Genomic DNA, 22,924 nt, shown 5'->3' on the forward strand with positions numbered 1-22,924 from the left:
GTGTACTGAAAGGAAAATGTATCACCTATTTTACCAGGTGGCCATTGCTCCAGCAGGAATTAGAAGTGGCCTTTGGGGAAGCAGGAACTGATGAATTAGGCTCATCTGAAATCACTTGTAGCCATAAAAAAATGTTGCTCTGATAATCAGGATGTTAGCCCCAGTGTTCTGGAGAAGTTCCAGTTCTATAATTACTTCTGCCTACCTACTTTCCTCCCTGCAGTTTTAATAAGATTATTTTCTTTGCCTTGAAAAGTAAATTTTAAAAGCTAATAAAGCCATACCCAGTTAAAGCAACACTATAATGACTTAATACATATTTACTGAAATTTAAATTTAAGAATAAAATGACTATACATTTTCTTATCAAAATATTTAACTATATGCTTCAAATAGATCTTTGTTCATATAAAGACAATTAGAAACAGTTGTATTCGATCACCTTAAAGTTCATGTGGGAATCTGAAAATTTCAGAAATGTTCTATTTGCAATACAACTTTTGGAAAAATAATCAACAGACAATATAATATTCATTTTATTTTTTGGACTACAGGCTTTATTCTAAACACTATTAATATGCTTAACTATTAATTCATGATTCTGAGGTCTCTGAATTGACATGTCATTTAGAATTGTTTACTGGTGTCTTTTAAAAAATCTCCTTGATGTTCATGACAAAATTCCAATAGTGGAAAGGTGAATTAGCAAATTTTAAAAATTGCTGCAATATTGTTAATTCATTTTATTTATCGGAATGAAAAGAACTCCCAGGTTGCAAAGAGAGCTTTGATATTGCCCTTGCTACTCTCAGAGGAATTGAAAACTTTCCTTAATAGCTGAATCACAAAGATGGCTTTTTAAAAAAGAGGAGTTGTATGTAAAAGAACAGAAATGTAAATTTTTTACATTTATCAATTTACATAGTAAAAACTTATTGCAGTTTAGCTATTAAAATTGTTTATTATATATGATATACAATGCAACTAATAATATTATATTTTACAAGTTGAGGATCCTTAATCCAAGAATCCAAAATCTGAGATCCAAATTCCAAAACCTTTTGAGTGCCAACATGATGATACGAGTGAAAAATTCCGTACATAAGTAACTTACACAAACTTGTTTTATGTACAATATTACTTAAATGTTGTTAAAAAAAAAAGTACCTTCAGCCTATGTGTATAATAAGGTGTATATATAACATAAATGAATTTCACATTTAGACTTGGCTCTCATCCGCAAGATATCTCATTAGGTATATGCAAATATTAAAAATGTGGGAAAATCCCAAACCCAAAACATTTTTGGTTTCAAGCATTTTACATAAGGTAATACTCAACCTATATTACCACATTATTATTACGTAATTTTTTTAGTCTTCTGTTACATCACATCAATTACCACATAGCAAGATTTATACCATAATAAAATTTTGGCAAAACAATATTTTCCTCAGGTTAACAAAAATGTGAACTTCTAGAGATGGAAGTGTTGTTGTTCTGCTACCTTCTTATTTGTACTGTACTTGCTGTTCTGAAAAACATATTTCTTACTAGCAAACTTCTCAGTGATGTGACAAGTACACCCTAAATATCATACACTGGAGAATAATCTGGGAAGCACTGTAACAGGACTATCTAAAGGTCATTTGGAGGGGATTAGCAGAAAAGGGCATAGCTACAGAAGAGTGGCTCTGGATCTTGGACAGTATCTGTCACTATTGGGTTAATGAGTAAGAATGTTTGGTGGCTGACATGAACATTACATTTCTTTTACCAATGTTAGTAGCATAGAGAGATAGTATTAAAGTGGTTGCTTACTTTTATGATATTTTTTCTCATAGAATCCTTCAATCATTTCGTAAATAAAGCAATGGCCTTTTATGAAGTTAATAAACTACAAATGAATTGAAGATGGATTCTAGAGTTAACAAGCCCTTGGCCCATGAGCGTGCTATCTCAATCTCCAGAGCAAAGTCTATTTTAATTAGTCTTTTCTCTGATGGATAGTTTGGTTTCATTCAAGGTTGGAAATGTTCCTACTGCAGAGGACTCCATAGCAGTATTTTCTTGCATGAAGAACCTGATATAGGAAGTAAAAACATTTTAGTCTCTTCTTGATAAGGTTCTTTTTTCCTTTTGCTCAGGCATTACCTGAATAACTTCAATACTTCTATTCTCAACATACTGACTGATCTTTCTCATCCATTGATTTCAAATATCCAATAGACACTATAGACTTTAATATTTTGGGTGCTAATAAATACCTTAATATTTAAAGCTGGCATTTTCAGATATGGAAATGAACACTCTAGCTAACATGATTTGACCAAATTCATAGAGTGAGATAGAGTCTGACAAAGGACATTGAACAAATCCTTCCAAATTTTAAGGTAAAATAAACTTCACAAAGTGATGATATGGGAGATGAAGAGATACCACATTATGGCAGAAGATAAAAACATATTTCCATTGTAGGTTAATAGTGCAAATATAGGTAAATTTTATTGCATAAAGCAAAATGTACCACCAGAAATAACTTGTGCATTTATTTCTTCAGGAATACAGTCTGTTTCACTGAGTGCCGTATGGTGAGTCAGATGAGTATAATGAAAAATACATTGGATTGGTTTCAGTCAGTATAGCTTCTAACTTTGCCTACTGAAGATGGTAGTGTTTTAATTCTATGCAAATCTCTTGACTTCCCTGAGTCTTAGGAGGAAGTTGAACTTGATCACTCTTTTCAGCTCTGAGATATAACTCTCTAGTAGACAAAATCTTCATTTGTTTAAAATATATATACCTTTTAGAAACAAGGGACCAATTTAATGCATTTATTATGTCAATTTTGTAACTGAAGGAATTTCAAATACTTTATGCTTTTCGGGGGCAATTATTTGAAATTATGCCACTAGTGTTTACAGTCTAGTTTTTACTTTGTGTGTACCTGCACTATTAGATGCATATTATGCATAATCTTTATTATTTTAAAAATTAGTTATACACTTACATTTAAATTCATGTGGAAATTCAAAGGACCTGAAATAGCCAAACAATTTTGTAAAATGTCAACAGGAGGACTAACACTACATGACTTTAACATTTATTACAGTGGGACAGTCATCAAGGCACTACGGAATTGGCGTGAAGACCAACAAATACATCAGTGAAAGAAAATAGAACAGACTCCAAGAACATTCCCACATTGAAATGTGTGGAATCAATCATGGTCAATTGATTTTGACAAAAATGTGTAAAGGCAATTCAGTAGCTGGAGCAATTGATATCTACATGCAAAATACATGAATAAACTTAGGTCCATATTTCACACTATGCACAAAAATTAACTCAAAATGAATCAAGGATGAAAATGTAAAATCTACAGCTATAAAACTTTCAGAATAAGACATGAAGAAAACCTTGGTGACTTTGGGTTATATGAACATATTTTAAGATGTGATACCAAAAGCAATGTCCATGAAAGAACAAATTGATAAATTGGGCCTTATTAAAATTAAAAATGTGGCCGGTCACGGTGGCTCATGCCTGTAATCCCAACACTTTGGGAGGCCGAGGCAGGTGGCTCACAAGGTCAGGAGTTCAAGACCAGCCTGGCCAATATGGTGAAACTCCGTCTCTACTAAAAATACAAAAGTTACCTGGAAGTGGTGGTGCACACCCATATTCCCAGCTGCTCAGGAGGCTGAGGCAGGAGAATCACTTGAACTCAGGAGGCAGAGGTTGCAGTGAGCCAAGATCGTGCCACTGCACACCAGCCTGGGCGACCAAGTGAGACTCTCAGAAAAAGTAAAATAAAAAATAAAAAATGTCTTATCTTTGAAGGATACTGTAAAAATATTCAATATATAAGTTATATACTGGGAGAATATATTTCCAAATCACATTTCTGATAAAAGACTTATATCTCTTAATACAACCTAATGTAAAACAAATGAGCAAAACATTTAAACGATTTACAAGAGATTTACAATTAATAAGCATATGAAAACATACTGAATATGAATAATCTTCAGAAGAATAAAAATGGAAACCATGGGATACCACTACACATATATGACACTGACAAAAATTAAAGAAATTAACGACTCTAAATATTGTCAAGGATAGGGAGGAACTGGAATTCCTATACATTGATAGTGGGGACATAAAATGGTATGGCTATATCAGGAAAAGTGTGACAGTTTCTTAATAAATTAAGCATACACTTGTATATAATCTAGCCATTCCACTAGTAGATATTTACCCAAGATAAGTGGAAGCATATGTCTATATTAGGACTTGTACCTAAATGATCCTGACAACTTTATTTGTAATAGCTGGATTCTGAATGCAACCCAAATGTTAATCAGTGGATGAATGTGTAAATAACCTGTAGTGTATCTATAAAATTGAATACTATTTAACAACAAAAAGGAAGGAACTATTAATACATAACATGAATATATTTAAAAATAAATATGCTGAAACAAGTTAGGAGTCTTATACGATTCCATTTATTAAAAATACTCCAATAGAAAATGCAAATGAATCTAGGAAAACTTTGCCTAAATCTTCTCTGTGGTTTGCCTGCGGGTGGAGGAAGGGAATTGGCCATGGAGGGGAGGGAAGGAGGTATTACAAAAAAAAACATGTAGAAACTTTTGGGAATGCTCGATGTGTTTATCATTATTGTGGCAGTGGTTTCTTGAACATACACATATGTCAACACCTATACTATTGTACATTTTAAATGTGTGCAATTATACCTCAACAAAACTGTTTAGAATATGTGAAAATTATTATTCAAAACTGAATCCTTGCATGTGAGGTCCTTGTAATATTAATAGTAAAAATTACATATTAATGAAAAAACTAAAAAAAATTATATGAAGCATACACACAAACATATGATAGAGATACTAATGCAAAGTGTATTGAAAAAAATGAGTCTTAAGGACAATGTAAATGTAGCACACAATGGGAGAAGGAATGGGAAAGGAAGTAGAAAGGAACATTTGATTAGCATTATACTTTATTGTTAATTTGAAAGAAGCAAAGCAATTTCATTAACCTCTTATTTGTCTTATTGTAATTTGGTTGGTGAATATTGTAGCTACAGTCCATACAAGGTCAAATAATATTGCTTATCGTCTCTAGAGTTCAGGCAGTTTTAATTGCACATTGGAAAACAAATATGTTTACGCTTTGCAGAATGTTTAGTGTTTAAATTGAGGCGAAGGAAACATCTGCGGTGTTACAAAGTGAGAGGCATAACTACAAAAATTAATCAGCTGACATTTTTCATTATAAGGCTGAATGACTTTCAAAAGACCATGGTAGCTGTGCTCATTTGGACACCGACATTAAAATGTTTTAGGTGCTTTATGGCATCACTCTGACACTAATATGCCTTATCAAAAGATAATACTGCAGTGCTAAGAACACTGAAGAAGAAAGTAAGAGTGGCCAGAGGCCAGTTTGTTAACCTCTCTTTCCCTCTGTCCGTGAATATTTTATTCTAGTTGTGGCAACTAAATGTGAATAATAAAAAGATTTTCAGGGAATTTTTATCATATCATTTTCCATATAAAATATTATTTTTGAAGCTTTTGTCTCTGGATCCTGTCTCCCTCAGCCCTCTTTGCCTGTTGAAAATCTATACATTTTTCTTAATCAGTTTAAGCATTCTTCTTCTATGAACTATTCCAAATATTCAGGCTGGCTTTAGTCCTCCATCTGTTTGTTATATTTATATCATGTTTCTCACTTTGGTAGGTAGCATTTAGTCTACCTGGTTGATTATCTGTTATCTTTTCTGTTTCCTCTCTGGGCTAGCTTGGATCAGTGACTATGAATCCGCATGTACATACATTGAAACTACTAACACTCACCGTGTGTGATGGAAAGCATGGGGTTCAATGCCTTTTTCTGAAATCTCACCAAAAGAAGAAGATAAAACAAATATATAGCATACCTAATAGTTAGAAAACTCAACAGTTACATTGGAGAGTTTATACAAATTAAAGAGCTGTGTTGTTCAACAACAAAACTGAATGCAGCCATTGAAATCAACAACCAGAACTATTATAGGGGCTACTGAAGAAATGTATATTGATTTAACAAGGTAACCCAGGAAACTTGCAGAGTGTGCTTTATGGTGTCATAATGGGTAAGTAACTTAACCAATCCTCTGCTCTGCATAAAACAATAGCTTTATTTGTGCTTTGTTCCTAGGTTAAATAAAACTCATATGAACAGCTTTCTACTCAGAAATGAATGATTTTTGTATGCCATACGCAAAGCATATTAGAGCTAGAAAGAAAAGGTGGTATTTTTGATAACTTTACCCCTCAAAATTTATACAGCTCACAGGCTGAAGCACATCATAGCCACTTATCAAAACCAGGGGTTTCCTATTAGCAACAGCATTTTGTGCTAATAGCACAAAATCATTAGTTTGCTGCACTGATCATTTATTACAGCTTATTATCACCAATCACCCTATTTATACGAATGGACAATGAATTACTATCAGATATATTAGGCAGATGAAGAGGGGAAAATAAAGATAACAAGCCCAATTAAAAAATCAACTTTCAAGAAAATAGGGAAATATAAAATTTAAAAATGTATGTTTAATTTGTATTGTCAGAAATTCAAGAAGATTTTACATTGGTAATACAAGAACAGGATACCTTAATAAAAATAATTAGAGATTAAGTAAACATTTAAGGTATTATTTAAAAAAATAAATTGATTCAATGAATAGCAGAAATCATGTAGTTGAAAAGAAAATTTGTATTTGGAATACATGTTTCCTTAAATATTTCAAGAAATCCAAGTTAAACCAGTAAAGAGAACAACTTGTAAGTCATAAAATGATTCAGTAAAGTGGCCTGTCCTAAATCACATCTAACTTAAATACCAACAATAATTAATGAGAAGATATATTATCAAATATTTTATTCACACAAACTAGTAACAATACGACACACCCACACACACTTAGTGGCAAAAAAATGTGCAAAGTCTTTGTGGTAGAGAAAATAATGGCCCTGTAAGGATGCTTACACCCTAAACTCTGTAATCTGTGAATATGCTACCTTATATGGCAAAAAGAAATTTACATGTGATTAAGTTAATAATCTTGAGATGGATCTGTTATTATAGATTATTTAAGTTAGATTCAATGTGATTATATCATGAAGATTCTTATAAAAGGGAAGCGAGAGGGTCAAAGTCAGAAAAAGGAGATGTGACAATGGAAACAGTTTGGAGTGATGCATGTTCAAGACTGAGGAAGGGTCCACAACCCAAGGACTGCAAATGGCCCCTAGAAGGTGGACAACACAGGAAAATGAATTCTCACTTGGAATTTCCAGAAAAAAACACAGTTATGCCAAACCTTCATTTTAACCCTCTCAGTCACCCAGAATTCAGACCTCTAGAACTGAAAAATAACAAGTTTGTAATGTTTTAAGCCACTAAACTTGTGGTAATTTATCACAACAGCAATAGAAAACTAATATAGCCTGTAGAATTTTGATAAATCAAAACTCAAACTGTTGGGAAGAATATAAAAAAGCTTGCATACATATGGTAACATATGAATTATTCCCCAATTAATCCATAAATTCTAAGCAACAAAATTAAAATGTTGTAGTCTTTACTCTTATTATAATCATTATAATCAGTATAGCTATTAATCTCCTACTATGTGATAAGCATTGATTTACATGTCAGACATAAAATCACAAGCAAAAATAGAAATAGTGTTGCTTACATTGAGGTTATAGTTTTGTGAAGAAGATAAAACTTTAAAAGATTATACATGCTTATATACATGCTGAGGGGTGTGTGTGTATGTCTGTGTCTATGTCTGTGTATTTCTCTGACAAAGGCAAGAAAGATGGAAGATACAGGGTTCTATGAGAAAATACAATTGGGTAACTAATCTAAGCAGCAACATCAGGAAGTGATATAAGAGCTAGGATCCACAGACTGAGTAGGAGGAGCTGGTATAGGAGGAAAGGAGAAGTAGCATGTGCAGAAGTGTTTTGTGAAAAGATTGTACCTTGTTCATGGTTCATAGAAAGAAAGGTCAGCATATATTAAATCTTATTTCTTACATAGGCCAATTAAAGATTCTATGCTTGTCCAAATAACACAATTGCGGCATAGGTGCACAAAGATATTTGTGTAAGAATGCTTACTGTAATGTTTTTATGATGTAATAATAGAAATATTTAAGTATCTATGAATAAAGGAGACAAAGACACACAAACACACACACATGTATATATACCTCTATATATATTCTAGTAAGTTTAAAAATATAGTGACTTTTTTTAAGTTTATAATATATTATGGCATAGAAAAAGATCTTTATCGGTACCTGTATTATAGTAGTTTACATGCTTAAAATCTATTATGTGCATGTGTAAATTCATAAAAATGTATACTCGTATATTCCTGTTGCTCTAGGCTTTAACTAGAGTGTGGAGAATATACACTAAGTATTTAAAAGTAGTTTCATTTGCAAAGTGAGATTAGGCAAACGGGGGAACATTTTGGTTTTCTTACTGTATTTCTTTATTACTTGAGTTGATTAGAACAATTTATAATTTTGTTTAAAAATAGGAATAAAAATACATGTTGAACTTAAACAGATTTCAGTTGATGTTAACAAAAAAATCATCTAATTATTGTGTTTAACCATACATTTAATAACTCATCAGCCACTACTTATTTGGTACCCATAACATTATAGTCACAAAAAGCAACTGAGTCTTAAGCTTATTATTTTATTCTGTTTACTTTAAAATTCTGTAAAGTAAGTATCTAGATGTCAAAATTACGTGAAAATTAATCCCTGTTTCATCCTTGATTATTGCGTGTATGTGTATGAATGCACATCATTAAAATTCTCAAATAGGCAGCCTCAAGTCAATGCAAGAAACTGAAAACGTAAATCTAATTAATCAGTTGCTCATAATTTTCTATGTAGCAATATTATCCAAAGATATCTTGTCTGATATAATAATAAAATTCTGTTTCACATTTTCTGTAAAATAATACAGAGGAATAATAATACAGGTAGACATCTACAAGGAGAACAAATATTTCCCTAATACTATAATCCCTGATCCAATTATCCTTACATTTTGTTTCCATCAGAAAAAAAGCAAATCATCTGAATAATTAAAAAATAGGCATAAACACTTTAATTTATCATTCTGGAATGTAGAAAGCAAATTTTAAATTTACTAAGTAAAACCAAATGTGTATAATTTTGATATGGCATTATTTATGTTGATAATTTAACAAATAACAATATCCCATACTTAACTTGTTCTGATTCCTTGCCTCCATTATGGGCTTAAAATGGAGAGGGTTCCACCTTTGGAGGTGGAATTCTCTTTGAGAAATTTGAAGACAATTCAAAAATCAGCTGGTTTTTGGCTACAGTATTCCTAAACTTTTACCTTAGCAAATCAAAATCATAGACAGTATTTTTTCACACTTCTATTAGAACAGTTTCTGTGCTGTTCCATAGTTAAAAAGTAGTATTGACATTCAACATACACAACACACGGAATTACACTGAATGCAATTATTTATTTAGCTTGTCTAATGTGATACATGACATCATTATGAATATACAGATTCCTATTCTGTTCCTAACCCTTTTTCAGAACCCAATTTATATTCGCATTCTCTATGAACTCATATCCAACCATTTTAGTTCTACTTGAATCTGCTCAGGCAGTTAAATAAGTAAATGTATGTCATATTTCAGTATATAACTGCATGCTTCTGTATGTTAGCTGTCCTACAACTAAATTGTCATCTTCTTGAAGGCAAACAACATGTTCTGCACTTGCTGGTTGAACTGACATTCTCTCTATATGGTGTATTTCATTAGTTAATTGCCAACTAGAGGATGGTGTGGAATGACTTATCATTCATGCAAATTTATGGAAAAGCTATGAATAAAGCTGATATCTAGAATGGAGAAGTCAGCGTTGATTTTAAGATTTTTAAACTTTGTGTTTTTATTGTGTATTTTAGTACAGTTTATTTATAACTCATTTTTGTACAGATAATGCTCCTAATGTAACATTAAACTAAAACAACAGTTCCCCACTAACATAATCAGTCTATTGATACACACAGGGGTCCCTCGAAGTTTTGGTTTCATTTTGATGAAGGTCTCCAGCATTTAGAATAGACTCATATTTTGCTAGTAGCCCCTCCCTCTATTATTGCAGGATCTGAGATGCTGCTGCACTCTGGAATCTCTGAGAGATAACACAAATTATACATAGCAAAAAGAAAAGACTGTATATTAAGAAGTTGCGGGAAATGCTAGTTTAATTTGTATTATTGATTGCAGGAGCTCATATAACCTTTAATGGTTTAAAAAATATTGTTATTATCCAAATTCAGTTTTAGCATGCAGCGTTTCCTAGAATTAGTTCACACACTCACACTTTTGTAACTTCTGATTTAAAATACTTTGTATCACAGTTTTTATGACATCTACTGTACAATAATTATTCCAGGAAACCAGATAAACCAAATTTCTAGGAAATTTTGATATTTGTTACCAGAGAATTCATGGAATCGTGAAGGGCCTCAAAGGAATCTTGTTGAGGAATTTTAACCACATTATTCTGCTTGGGAGAAAATCATAGAATGCTACAAGTTGACAAGTGGTGGAGACAAAAAATAAACTTGCTATAATCCCTGAAATTTGTAACCAGTATATAACGTGATCAAATTTGCAATACTTACTTCCTATATGAGATAAAATATGAGTATGTTAACTGCCTCTCGTTATTAAGCAGGTTGTTCTTTACAAATACACATCTTTATTGTTTGCATGAACACAAATATTTCTTGAGAAGCACGTTGAGCCATGAAATATGAATCAATTATTGATAGAATTGAGCCATTGAGATGGTTAACAATGTCATTTTAATTCTATAAGCCACACCAGAAAAAAACAAGCTTAAAAAATTTTTGGATGCTATCTATATCTCTGAGATAGGAAGAATTCCAAAGGCTGATAATGAAATCTAAGGTTGTTCAGCTGCTTAAACAAGATGGTCGTAGGTATTTAAGTCTAACTCATGATGTTAAAACTGTCATAAAATGCATAAAGCTTTGTCACTTACTTTATGCTCTATGATACACAGATAACTAATAGTAACAGTACTTACTTTATAGAGCTGATATGAAGATATCTATTTGATACAGTTTATATATATATATTTGAAACAGGTTCTCACTCTGTCACCCAGGCTGGAGTGCAGTGGCACAATCATGGCTCACTGCGACCTCCAACTCCAGGGCTGAAGGCATCCTGCTACCTCAGCCTCCTGAGTAGCTGGGACTACAGGCATACGCCACCATGCCCAGCTAATTTTTGTATTTTGTATGTGGGGGTGTGTGTGTGTGTGTGTGGAGAAGGGGTTTCGCCATGGTGCCCAGGCTGGTCTTAAACTCCTGAGCTCCAGCAGTCCTCCTGTCTCAGCCTCCCAAAGTGAAGGGATTATAGGAGTGAGCCACTGCGCCTAGCCTATGAAGATATTAATAATAATATTGATGATGAAAAAGAGCTTAGAATAGTCAGTAACAGACTGTAAGTGCTATGAGTCCTTATTAAATGAAAAAGTACCATAATAAAGTAATAATAGTATATTAATATAAAATAATTTTCTTCTAGCTATCTTTTTATAGATCTGTAAAACTTCTAAAAGATGTAGCAAGCATTGAGATGTTACCAAGCCCTCATAGATGAGGAAAATAGAGTTTATTGAATAACATTTATAATGCATTCTACTGGAAGCAAAGCACAAAGAAATGCTGTGAGAAGTAAATATTTTCAGACAATGGCTCTGCATAGACCTTGTCCCTATGTACAGTCATTAACTGTTGAGGTTAGGATTCAGGAATGATACAATTGCTAGTTAGATAATATGCTGCTGATACCTTAAATCTAGAAGAAAGGCAGAAACGTAAAATGTGTGTGATATTAGACTAGTCCTGAATCTTATGGCTTGTTATTTAATTATAATACTACAGTAACCAGCCTTGTGATACAATAGCACTTTCAAATGATGCATAGTTGGAGCCCCTTCCAGGTATGAATTAGAAATGCAGTCAGCAGTTCTGTCATACATGTGTGTCCTGATACCTGGTAACAAAGTGAGTGCATGAAAACAGGCCCTGACGTTGCTTCTTATATGCTTTTAATTCCTTCTATTTTGAAGAAAATGAATGAAATTGCTGTTCAGGAATACATCAAGTCAAAATATACACCATTGCTAGAAATAAATGGGTTTTAATATACACACATATTTATTTCATTTAAAGTTCGAGAATATAATTTTAAGACATCAAAATAAATATGATAATAATAGAATAGCTCAAGAATTGAAATTAGACAAAGTTCTATTTGAAGAGTATTGTATGCATTGGATTTTTTCTCTACAGCACTTTCAAAAATGATTCTGAATTTTCTTAAATTTTATGGCTACTAAATAGATAAACTGCCTGACTTTCACTTAATAATGATGGTTTCCACCCTTTCCCTGTGTTTTCTAAGAATTATAAAACGAATACAACTAAGATACGTCTAGTTACTTTTGGCACAGAAGCTTATAGCTGCGTTTTTATCCAAAACGCCAAGTATTGCTTTTGACTATGGAATCCTGTGAGCCCTAAGCAGGATGTTTCAAACTGTGAATTGGCCCATTTATATCTTATGGTGTAGCAGGCATTTCTTTAAGTTATTGGTTTCCCAGAAGGCTAGGAAACAAACTTATTTTTTAAGTAGAATAGAGTAAAACAAAACAGCAAATATCATAATGCACAGCATATAATAGAGTGTAAGGCTTTTTTAAAGAACATTCTCTTTAATGTGTATGTGTGCATACGCATCTGTGCATGCACACAGCTGTTGAAACATATTCATATTTATAAATATAAAGTTTGAAAGTCACTGTGTGAGTCTGTGATTATATGTCACAGGTTTCATATGGCCTCGAAATGGTCATTAGAAACCTGTACATGCACATTTTCTAGGAAAAAGTTTTATGTTCTTCATTTGAAATACTTGTAAAGTTATCATATAAAAAACTTTGAGACATACTTATTCCAAAGCAAATTCCATCATGTTTGTAGTTTTGGGATGAATATACTTTAAAATGTAAAATAACATAGAATAATTTATATTTATATGCCTATTTTGCAAATAGATGTACTATAATTGCTTACATGTTTTTTATATAAATTTAGGTTCTGAACATGACAAAGTAGAACTCTCCAGCAATTGTTCCCTCATAGAACTATCAATTTGGTAAATTATTCACATATGAAAATGCCTTCATAAGGGCTAGCAGGTAAGTGATCACAAATTTGTAGCACGATAATAAGAAAATATGCTGATTTTGTACCTTGCAACTTCGCTTGTTTATGAATTCCAATAACTTTTTAGTGGGGTCTTTAGGTTTTTCTAAATATAAGATCAGATCATGTGCAGACAAGGATAATTTGACTTCTTCTTTTCCAATTTGGATGCCTTTTATTTTTCTTGTCTGCTCACACTCTGGCTAGGACTTCCAGTACTATGTTGAATAAATGTGGTGCAAGTGGCATTCTTGTCTTATTCCACATCTTTCAGTTTTTCCCTGTTTAGCATGATACTAGCTGTGAGTTTGGCATATATAACTTTTATTATGTTGAGATATGTTCCTTCTATACTCAGCTTTTTGAGATTTTTTATCATGAAGATATGTTGAGATTTTTTCAAATGCTTTTATGGCATCTATTTAAGTGGTTATAAGGTTTTGTACCTCATTCTGCTGATAAATAATATGCACCCTATTGATTTTCATTTGTTGAGCCATCTGGGCATACCTGGAATGCATCCCACTTGATTACAATGAATGATCATCTTAATGTATTGTTGAATTTGATTTACTAGTATTTTATTAAAGATGTTTGCATCTATGTTCAGGAGATATTGACCCATAGTTTTCTTTTTTGTTGTGCCTGTCTGGTTTTAAAATCAAAGTGATACTGGCCTCATAGAATGAATTTGGAAGTATTCCCACCTCCTCATTTTTTTATAATAGTTTGAGTATGATTGATATTAATTATTTTTCAGCTGTGGTTCCATCAGGTCCTTGACTTTTCTTTGATTGAAGACTTTTTATTACAGCTTCTATCTTGTTAGTTTCTATTTGTCTATTCAGGTTTTGGATTTCTTCATGGTTCAATCTAGGTAGATTGGATATGTCTAGAAATGTATCCATTTCTTCTAGGTTTTTCAATTTATTGTCATATAGTTGCTGATAATAGTATCGAATTATTCTTTGAATTTCTGTGGTATCAGTTGTAATGTCTTCTTCCTCTCTGATTTTATGTATTTTGATCTTCTTTCTTTTTTATTTGTTAGTCTAGCTAAAGATTTGTTGATTTTGCTTATCTTTTCAAAAACTGAACTTTTATTTTACTTGATCTTTGTAGTTTTTAGTGGCTACTGCATTTATTTCTGCTCTAATCTTTACTATTTCACTTCCTCTAATTTGGGGTTTGGTTTCCTCTTGCTTTTTTATTGCAAAAAGACGTATCACAATGTTGTTTATTTGACATTTGACTACTTTTCTGACATAGGTGTTTATTACCATAAACTTCCCTCTTCGTACTGCTTTTGCTATATCTTATACATTTTGGTATGTTGTTTTTCCATTTTTATATGTTTCAAATTTTTTTTTAATTCCTTAACTTCTTCATTGACCTATTGGTCATTCAGGAGCATACTGTTTAATTTTTATGCGTTAGATACAAAATCAACATAAAAATATTAGTAGCATTTCCATATGCAAACAATGAACAACCTGGAAAGAAACCAAGCAAGAAAGCAAAATTTAAAATAACTAGAAATACAATGAAATACTTAGGAATTAACCAAATCAGTGAAAGATCTTGACAATAAAAACTATAAAAGGTAGTAAGATAAATAGAAGGGAACACAAAGAATTGAAACATATTCCACATTCATTGATTGGAAGAATATTGTTAAAATGTCCATCCTACCCAAATCAGTTTACAGATTCAATGTCATCTGTATCAAAATACCAACAACCATTCTTCACAGAAATTTAAAAATCAATAAGAAAATTACAATGGAATAAAAACGACCCAGAATAAACCAAGTCATCCTGAACAAAAAGAAAAAAAATACTAGAGGAATCATGTTACCTGACCTCGAATTATATTATAGGGCCATAGTAACCAACGCAGCATGAAACTAACTTATAAACAGACACATAGAACAATAAAACAGATTAGAGAACCCAGGATAAATCTACATATTTACAGTGAACTCATTTTTGACAAAGGTACCAAGAACATACATTGAGAAAATGTCAATTTCTTTAATAAATGGTGCTGGGGAAATGACATCCATGTGAGTAAGAATGAAACAACTCCCCACCCCCGCCTTTTCTCACTATATACAGAAATCAAATTTAAAAAGATTATAGACTTAAATCTAAGATGAGAAATTGTTAAACTACTAGAATAAACCATGTGAAAAGCACTTCAGGTCATTGATCTGGGCAAATGTTTGAGTAATAACTCAAAAGCACAGGCAACCAAAGCAAAAATGGACAAATGGTATTACATCAAACTAAAAAGCTTCTGTACAGCTAAGAAAAGAAAGTTAAAAGACAACACACAGAATGGGAGAAAGTATTTGCAAACTAGCCATATGACAAGTGATTAATAACCAGTATATATATAAGCTCAAACAACTTAATAGGAAAAAAGACAATCCAATTAAAAATGGGCAAAGAATCTGAATAGACATTTATCAAAAGAAGACATACGAATGGCCAATTGTTATATGAAAAAGTGCTCAATATCATTGATCATCAGAGAAATGCGAGTGAAAATACAATGAGATATCATCTCTCCCCAGTTAAAACAGCTCTTAACCAAAGAGAAGCATAACATATTCTGACAAGGATGTGGACAAAGGGAAACTCTCATACTCTGTTGGTAGGAATGTAACAATTAGTACAGTCTTTATGGAAAAATGTATGGGGTTTCTTCAAGAAACTTAAGATAGAACTGCTATACAATCCTGCTGGGTATATAGCAAAAAATAATAATAATAATAATTTTGCTATATAAGAGATACCTGCACTTCCATGTTTATTGAAGTACTATTCACAATAGTGTAGATATGGAACCAACCCTGGTGTTCATCGAAAGATGAATGGATAAAGAACATGCGGTAACCCAATGGAATATTATTCAGCTATAAAAATAAAGAAATCCTGTCATTGGCAGTAACGTGGATGAAACTGGAAGACACTATGGTAAGTGAAATAAGCCAGTCACAGGAAGAAAATATCACACATTCCCACAAATATATGAGAGCTAAAAAGAAAGAATTGAACACATGGAGATAGAGAGTAGAATGATAATTACCAGAGGTTGGGCAGAATAGTCGGGAGTGGGGATAAAGGGGAAGTGGTTAATGGGTACAAAGATATACTTAGAAGGAAAAAGATCTAGTGTTCATTAGAACAATAGGGTGACTATAGTTAAAAACAATTTATCATGTATTTCAAAATAACTAGAGTAGAATTGATATGTTCCTAACATAAAGAAAGATATGATAAATACTTAAGCTGATGGATACCCCAATTACACTGATTTGAATGTGACACATTGTAGGCTATATCAATATATCACATGTAGTCCATAAATATGTGCAAGTATTGTTTATCCATAATAATTAAAAATGAAAACAATTTTTAAAGGGAAATTTGCATTTAAGAGGGTCAGAAGAACATTTTGGCATTACTCGCATCACACCCCAGCCAACTCAATCCAGCAAAGCATGGAGGGAGACATCACCCACTTGGGGAAAAGATAAAAATATAAGTAAAGGACTTTGCTTTGAACTTCAGCACTGAGCCTGTCTTAGTAAAACCAAGCACTAGACAGAACCCACTGCCCCATCCTTCAGGCTAGCAGCCACAGACAACCTCTTGACCTTCCCTGTTACCAGGCATTGCTACACAGTCTTAGGCTTCAGTCTTGCTGATTTAACCTCTGGCCTGTATCACTGTTGAGTTACCTTCAGAGGACCCAAGCTCTGGAAAACTCTCAGCCATAGGCAGCCTTTAGAGTCCCCAGGCTTCTATTGTTGTCCAGTGCTGTGCTGGCTGCAGTGGGCCCTGGGCTTCTGGTTCCCACGTCCCAGTGCCATGTCAATTGTAGCTGCCTCCAGCTTCTGGTGCATTGCAGCTCTCTGCTTGCCACAGGTCTTTCCCAGACAAAGACAGTCGTTGAAAGCTAGAACAAGCAGTAAATTCTTCAAATGCACAAACAATAATTTATGACCATAAGGAAAAAGAACAATTAGGGAAACGTGTCATCATACAGACAAAATAAAGTCCCAGTGACTGATACTAAAGAAATAATGATGTATAAATAGCCTAATGAAGAATTCAAAATAACTATTTTAAGGACGCTCAGGAAACTTAAAGACAATGCAGAGAAACAATTCCAAGAAATAAGGAAACCAATATGTAACTAAAATATGAAATTTAACAATGACTTTTTTTTAAAAGTCAAATAGAGATCTTGGAGTTGAAAAAATACAATAAGTGACATAAATGCAATGTAAGCATCAATAACATAATTGATCAAACAGAAGAAAGAATTATGAACTCAAAGACAGGTTATTTGACTACACACAGTCGGGGAGTTTGGGGGAGGAAATAACCAGAATGAAAAGGAAGGAAAAAGTTTCATGACATTTATGGAGCATCAAAAGAGCAAATTTTTAAGCTCTGACTGTTTAAGAAGAAAAAAATAAGGAGGTAAAAAGCTTATTTGAAGAAACAGGGGTAGAAAACTTTCCAAACTTGGAGAAACATATAAATATCCTGGTATATGCCCCAATCAAATTCAATCCAAATAAAACTACCCTGAGACATAATCAAGTTATAAACGATCAAAGATGAAGAGAGAATCCTGAAAACTGCAACAGAAAAGAAACAAATAACATATAAGGAAGTTCCAATATGACTAGCAGCAGACTTAGCAGAAATCTTACAAGCTAAGAGGGAGTGGGATGAGATATTAAAAGTGCTGAAGAAATAAAAGTGTTAACAAAAAATACTATACTCAGCAAATCTCGTAAGAAGTGGAAGTGAGATAAGACTTCCAGACAAACAAAAGCTGAAGGAGCTTTTTTCCCACCAGATCTGTCTTAAATGGTAAAGGGAGTTTCCAAGCTGAGAGTAAAGGACACTAATGAGTAACATAAAATCATCTGAAAGTATAAAACTGGCTGGTAAAAGGAAGTATAAAACCAATTTCAAAAAGTACTTTAATACTGTAATGGTGGTGTGTCAGTCATTTATATCCTTATAAGTATGAAGGTTAAAAGATAAGCAAAATTTAAAAAGCTACAATCATTTGTTACACTATACATAATATAAAAAATATAAACTGACAGCAAAAATTCAAAATGTGGAGTGGAGATTGGAGTAAAAGTGTAAAGGTTTTAAAATATTTTTATCAGCTTAGCATAACCTATTATAACTATATTGTTTTTGTAAGCCTCCTGGTAATCACAAAGCGAAAATCTATAGTAAATTAACAAAAAATTAAAAGCAGGGAATCAAAATATAAACACAAAAGAAAATTCACAAAGGAAGGCAGCAAGAGACAAAAAAATTAGTGAAAGATGTGGAAAACAACTAGAAGACAATGAATCAAAGCCATAGTAAGAACCGACCTAGCAATACTTAACTTGACTGCAAATGATTTAAGTTCTCCAATCAATATAGAGTGGCTGAAGTGATTATTTAAAAAAAGTTCAATTATAACTATGTTCTAATTATATTCTGTCTGTAAGAAACTTTATTCACCAGTAAGGACACACATAGACTTCAGGTGAAGGGATGGAAGAAAATATTCCATGCAAATAGGAAATAAAAGAGCAGGAGTGACTACACTAGATAAAATAGACTAGAAGTATAAAAATATAAAAAGAGACAAAGTAAGTCATTGCACAATGATAAATTCAGAAAAATCATATAACAATTGTAAATATATATATATATGCATACACCCAATGTTAGAGCACCTAAATATAAAAAGCAAATATTAATAGATCTGAAGAGAGAGATAAACTGCAATATTCAATCACAGAGGACTTTAACCCTCCACTTTTAGCAAGGGACACATCAGACAGAATATTAGTAAGGGAAATTGGACGTAAACTATACCCTAGATCAAATGGACCAAACAGACATATGCAGAACATTTCATATCACAAATGCACAGTACACGTTTTTCTCAACTAAACATGGAACATTGTCCAGGATAGATTAGACATTAGGCCACGAAACAAGTCTTAACAAATGTAAGAAGATAAAGCGACATCAAATATATTTTCTGACCACAGTTATGTAAAACTGGAAATCAATAACAGGAGGGACTTAGAAAAATTCACAAACCCATGGAAATTAAACAACATGGCCCTGAAAAATCAATGGGTTAGTGAAAAAATGAGTTAGTGAAAAAATCAAAACGATATTTTAAAAAGTATCTTGATACAAATCAAAATGGAAACACAACATACCAGAACAGATCAGATACAGCAAAAGTAGTTCTAATAAGGAAATTTATAGCAATAAATGCCTCCATTAAAGAAATATTTCAAATGAACAACTTAATGTTTCACCTCAAAGGCCTAAAAAAACAAGAACAAATTAAGCCCAAAGTTAGTAGAAAGAAGGAAATAAAGATCAGACAAGAAATAAATGAAATAGGAACTATAAAAGCAATAGAAAAGACCAGCAAAACTAAAAGTTGCTTTTTTGAAAACAAAATTAACAAACCTTTAGCTAAATGAACTAAAAAAATAGAGAAGACAAATTAAATCAGAAATAAAAAAATTTGGCAACAGGTACAACAGAAATACAAAAGATAATAATAGACTATTATAAAAAATTGCATACCAACAAATTGGATAATCTAGAAAAAAAGTATAAATTCCTTGAAACCTATAACCAACTAATATGGAATTAAGAAGAAATAGAAATTTTAACAGACCAATAATGAATAAGGAGATTTAATCAGTAATGAAAAGTCTCTGATCAAAGTAAAGCCCAGTATTTGATGGCATCACTACTGAGTTGCAACAAACATTTAAAGAACTAATACCAATTGTTTTCCAACTCTTCCACAATTTTGAAGTGAAGGAAATACTTCCAAATTCCCTTTATAAGGCCAGCATGACCTTAATTTCAGAGCCAGAAAAGACACTACCAAAAAAAAAAAAAAAAAAAAAAAACTATAGCCAACATCCCTGATGAATACAGATGTAAAAATCTTCAATAAAATACTAGCAAATTGTATTAAACAACACATTAACAAGATAATTCACCATGATCAAGTGAGATTCATTCCAGGGATCCAAGGATGGTTCAACATATGTAAGTCAACAAATGTGATATCACATTAAGAGAATGAGGGACACAATTCATATGATCATTTCAATAGATGCAGAAAAATCATTTGCCAAAATCCAACATCCCTTCATGGTAAAAAAAAAAAAAAAAAAAAAAAAAAAAACAAAAAAAACAACTCTCAACAAATTAGGCAAAGAAAGAATATTGCTCAACATAATAAAGGCTGCATACAACAAACCCACAGCTAACATCATACTCAGTAAATAAAAGTTGAAAGCTTTTCATCTAAGCTCTGTATCAAGACAAAGATGCCCAATCTCATCACTTCTAGTCAGTGTAGTTCTGGAGGGCCTAGTTAAATTAGAATTAAAGAAGTTAAATTGTAATTGTTGGCTTATGACATGATCTTAGAAATAATGAACAAATTCAGTAACATTTAAAGATACAAAATCAACATAGAAAAATCAGTAGCATTTCCACTAACAGTGGACTACCTGAAAAAGAAATCATAAAACAATTCTACTTAAAATAGCTATAAGAAAATAAAACACCTAGGAATAAATTAACCAAGGAGGTGAAAGCTTTACACTGAAAAGTAAAAATCACTGATGAAAGGAATTAAAGTAGACCATATATGGAAAAAAAAATTCATATTCATGGGTTGGAAGAATGAATATTGTTCAAATGTCCATGTTACCCAAAGTGATTTACAGATTCAATGCCATTCGTTTCAAAATACAAACGACACTCTTCACAGAAATTTTAAAAATATCCTAAAATTTGCTTGCAACAGAAAAGACCCCCCAAAATAGTCAAAACAATATTTAGAGAAAAAAAAAAAACCTGGAGGCATCACACTACCTGACTTCAAAATACTCATATTACAAAACTATAGTAACCAAAACAGCATGGCACTGGCATAAAAACAGACACATAGGCCAATGGAACAGAATAGAGACAAAAGGAAAAAACATGCACTTAATGTCAATTGACTTTTCAACAAAAGTGAGGTGACATGAACACATAATGGGAAAAGGAAATCTCTTCAATAAATGATGTTGGGAAAACTGGATATCCACTTGCAAAAGAATAAAATTAGACTTTTATTTGACATCATGTACCAAAATCAATTTTAAATGAGTTAAGGACTTAAACCTAAGACTCAAAACTATGAAACTGCTATAAGAAAACAGAGAGAAAGCTCTATGACATTAGCCTGGCAATGATTTTTTTTTATACGACCCCAAAAGCACAGGCAAAAAGAGCAAAAGTAGCCAAATGGTACTATGTCAAACTGAAGAGCTTCTGCAGAGCAGAAGAAATGATCAACAGACTGAAGAGACAATCTACAGAATGAGAGAAAACGTTCCCAGATTACACATCTGATAAGAGATAAATATTCAAAATATTTAAGAAAATCAAACAACTCAAAGCAAAAAAAAATAGACAAAGAACTCGAGTGTATATTTCTCAAAAGAAGACATAGAAATAGCCAAAGGGTAGATGAAAAATGTTCATCACTACTAATCATCAAGGAAATGCAAATTAAAACCACTAGGAGTCATCACTTCACACCTGTTGGAATGATTATTATCAAAAATACAAAGATAAGTATTGACAAGGATGTAGAGAAAAGGGAACTCTTAATACACTGTTGTTGAGAGTGAAAATTAGCACAGCCGTTATGAAAAACAGTATGAATGTTCTTCAAAAAAACTAAAAATAGAAACACCATGTGATTTAGCAATTCCACTACTGGGTATATATCCAAAGGAAATGAATTCAGTTGTCAAAGAGATATCTGCACTCCTGTGTTTTACTGTCTTATTTAAAACAGGCAAGATATAGAATCAACCCATGTCTGTAAACAGATGAATGAATAAAGAAAATACAGTCACATACACCATGAAAATCCTGTCATTTACAACAACATGGATAAAACTGGAGAACATTATGTTAAGTTAAATAAGCCAGGCAAAAAATGATGAATACCACATGATCTCACTGATATTGAAATCTACAGAAGCTCATCTCATAGAAGTAGGATTGTGGATTTTGGGTGCTGATGCATTTGGAGAAGGAGCACAGGGAAGATACTGGTCAAAGGATACCAAATTTCTGTTAGGAAGAACATCTATGCAATGTAGTGATATTGTATTCTTGAAAAATTCACTAAGAGAGAGTAAGTAAATTATTCTCACCACAAAAATGATAACTATGTGAGGTAATGCACATACTAGTTCGCTAGATTTAATCATTCCACAATGCATATTTACTTCAATATGTTGTACATGATAAAAATATTCAATTTTATCTTTCAATTTAAAAAATAAATAAATTTAGATTCTACTTGAGTTACATACAAAATATATTTATCTTCCTGAAAATGAAACTAAATTTGAACTCCA

General features: G+C 32.3%; 1 long non-coding RNA gene across 1 annotated transcript; it reads right to left on the reverse strand.

Annotated features, from left to right (window-relative positions):
- Positions 1–1,980: 1,980 nt before the first annotated feature.
- Positions 1,981–6,049, reverse strand: LOC105376005 (uncharacterized). Its single transcript, XR_929535.2, has 3 exons — positions 5,892–6,049; positions 3,011–3,039; positions 1,981–2,083 (listed from the first exon to the last, which is right to left on the reverse strand). It is a non-coding gene; the product is annotated as an uncharacterized LOC105376005 (long non-coding RNA).
- Between the last annotated feature and the right edge of the window lie 16,875 nt (positions 6,050–22,924).

This window comes from Homo sapiens, chromosome 9 (assembly GCF_000001405.40).
Source record: "Homo sapiens chromosome 9, GRCh38.p14 Primary Assembly".
NCBI classification, from domain to species: Eukaryota; Metazoa; Chordata; class Mammalia; order Primates; family Hominidae; genus Homo; species Homo sapiens.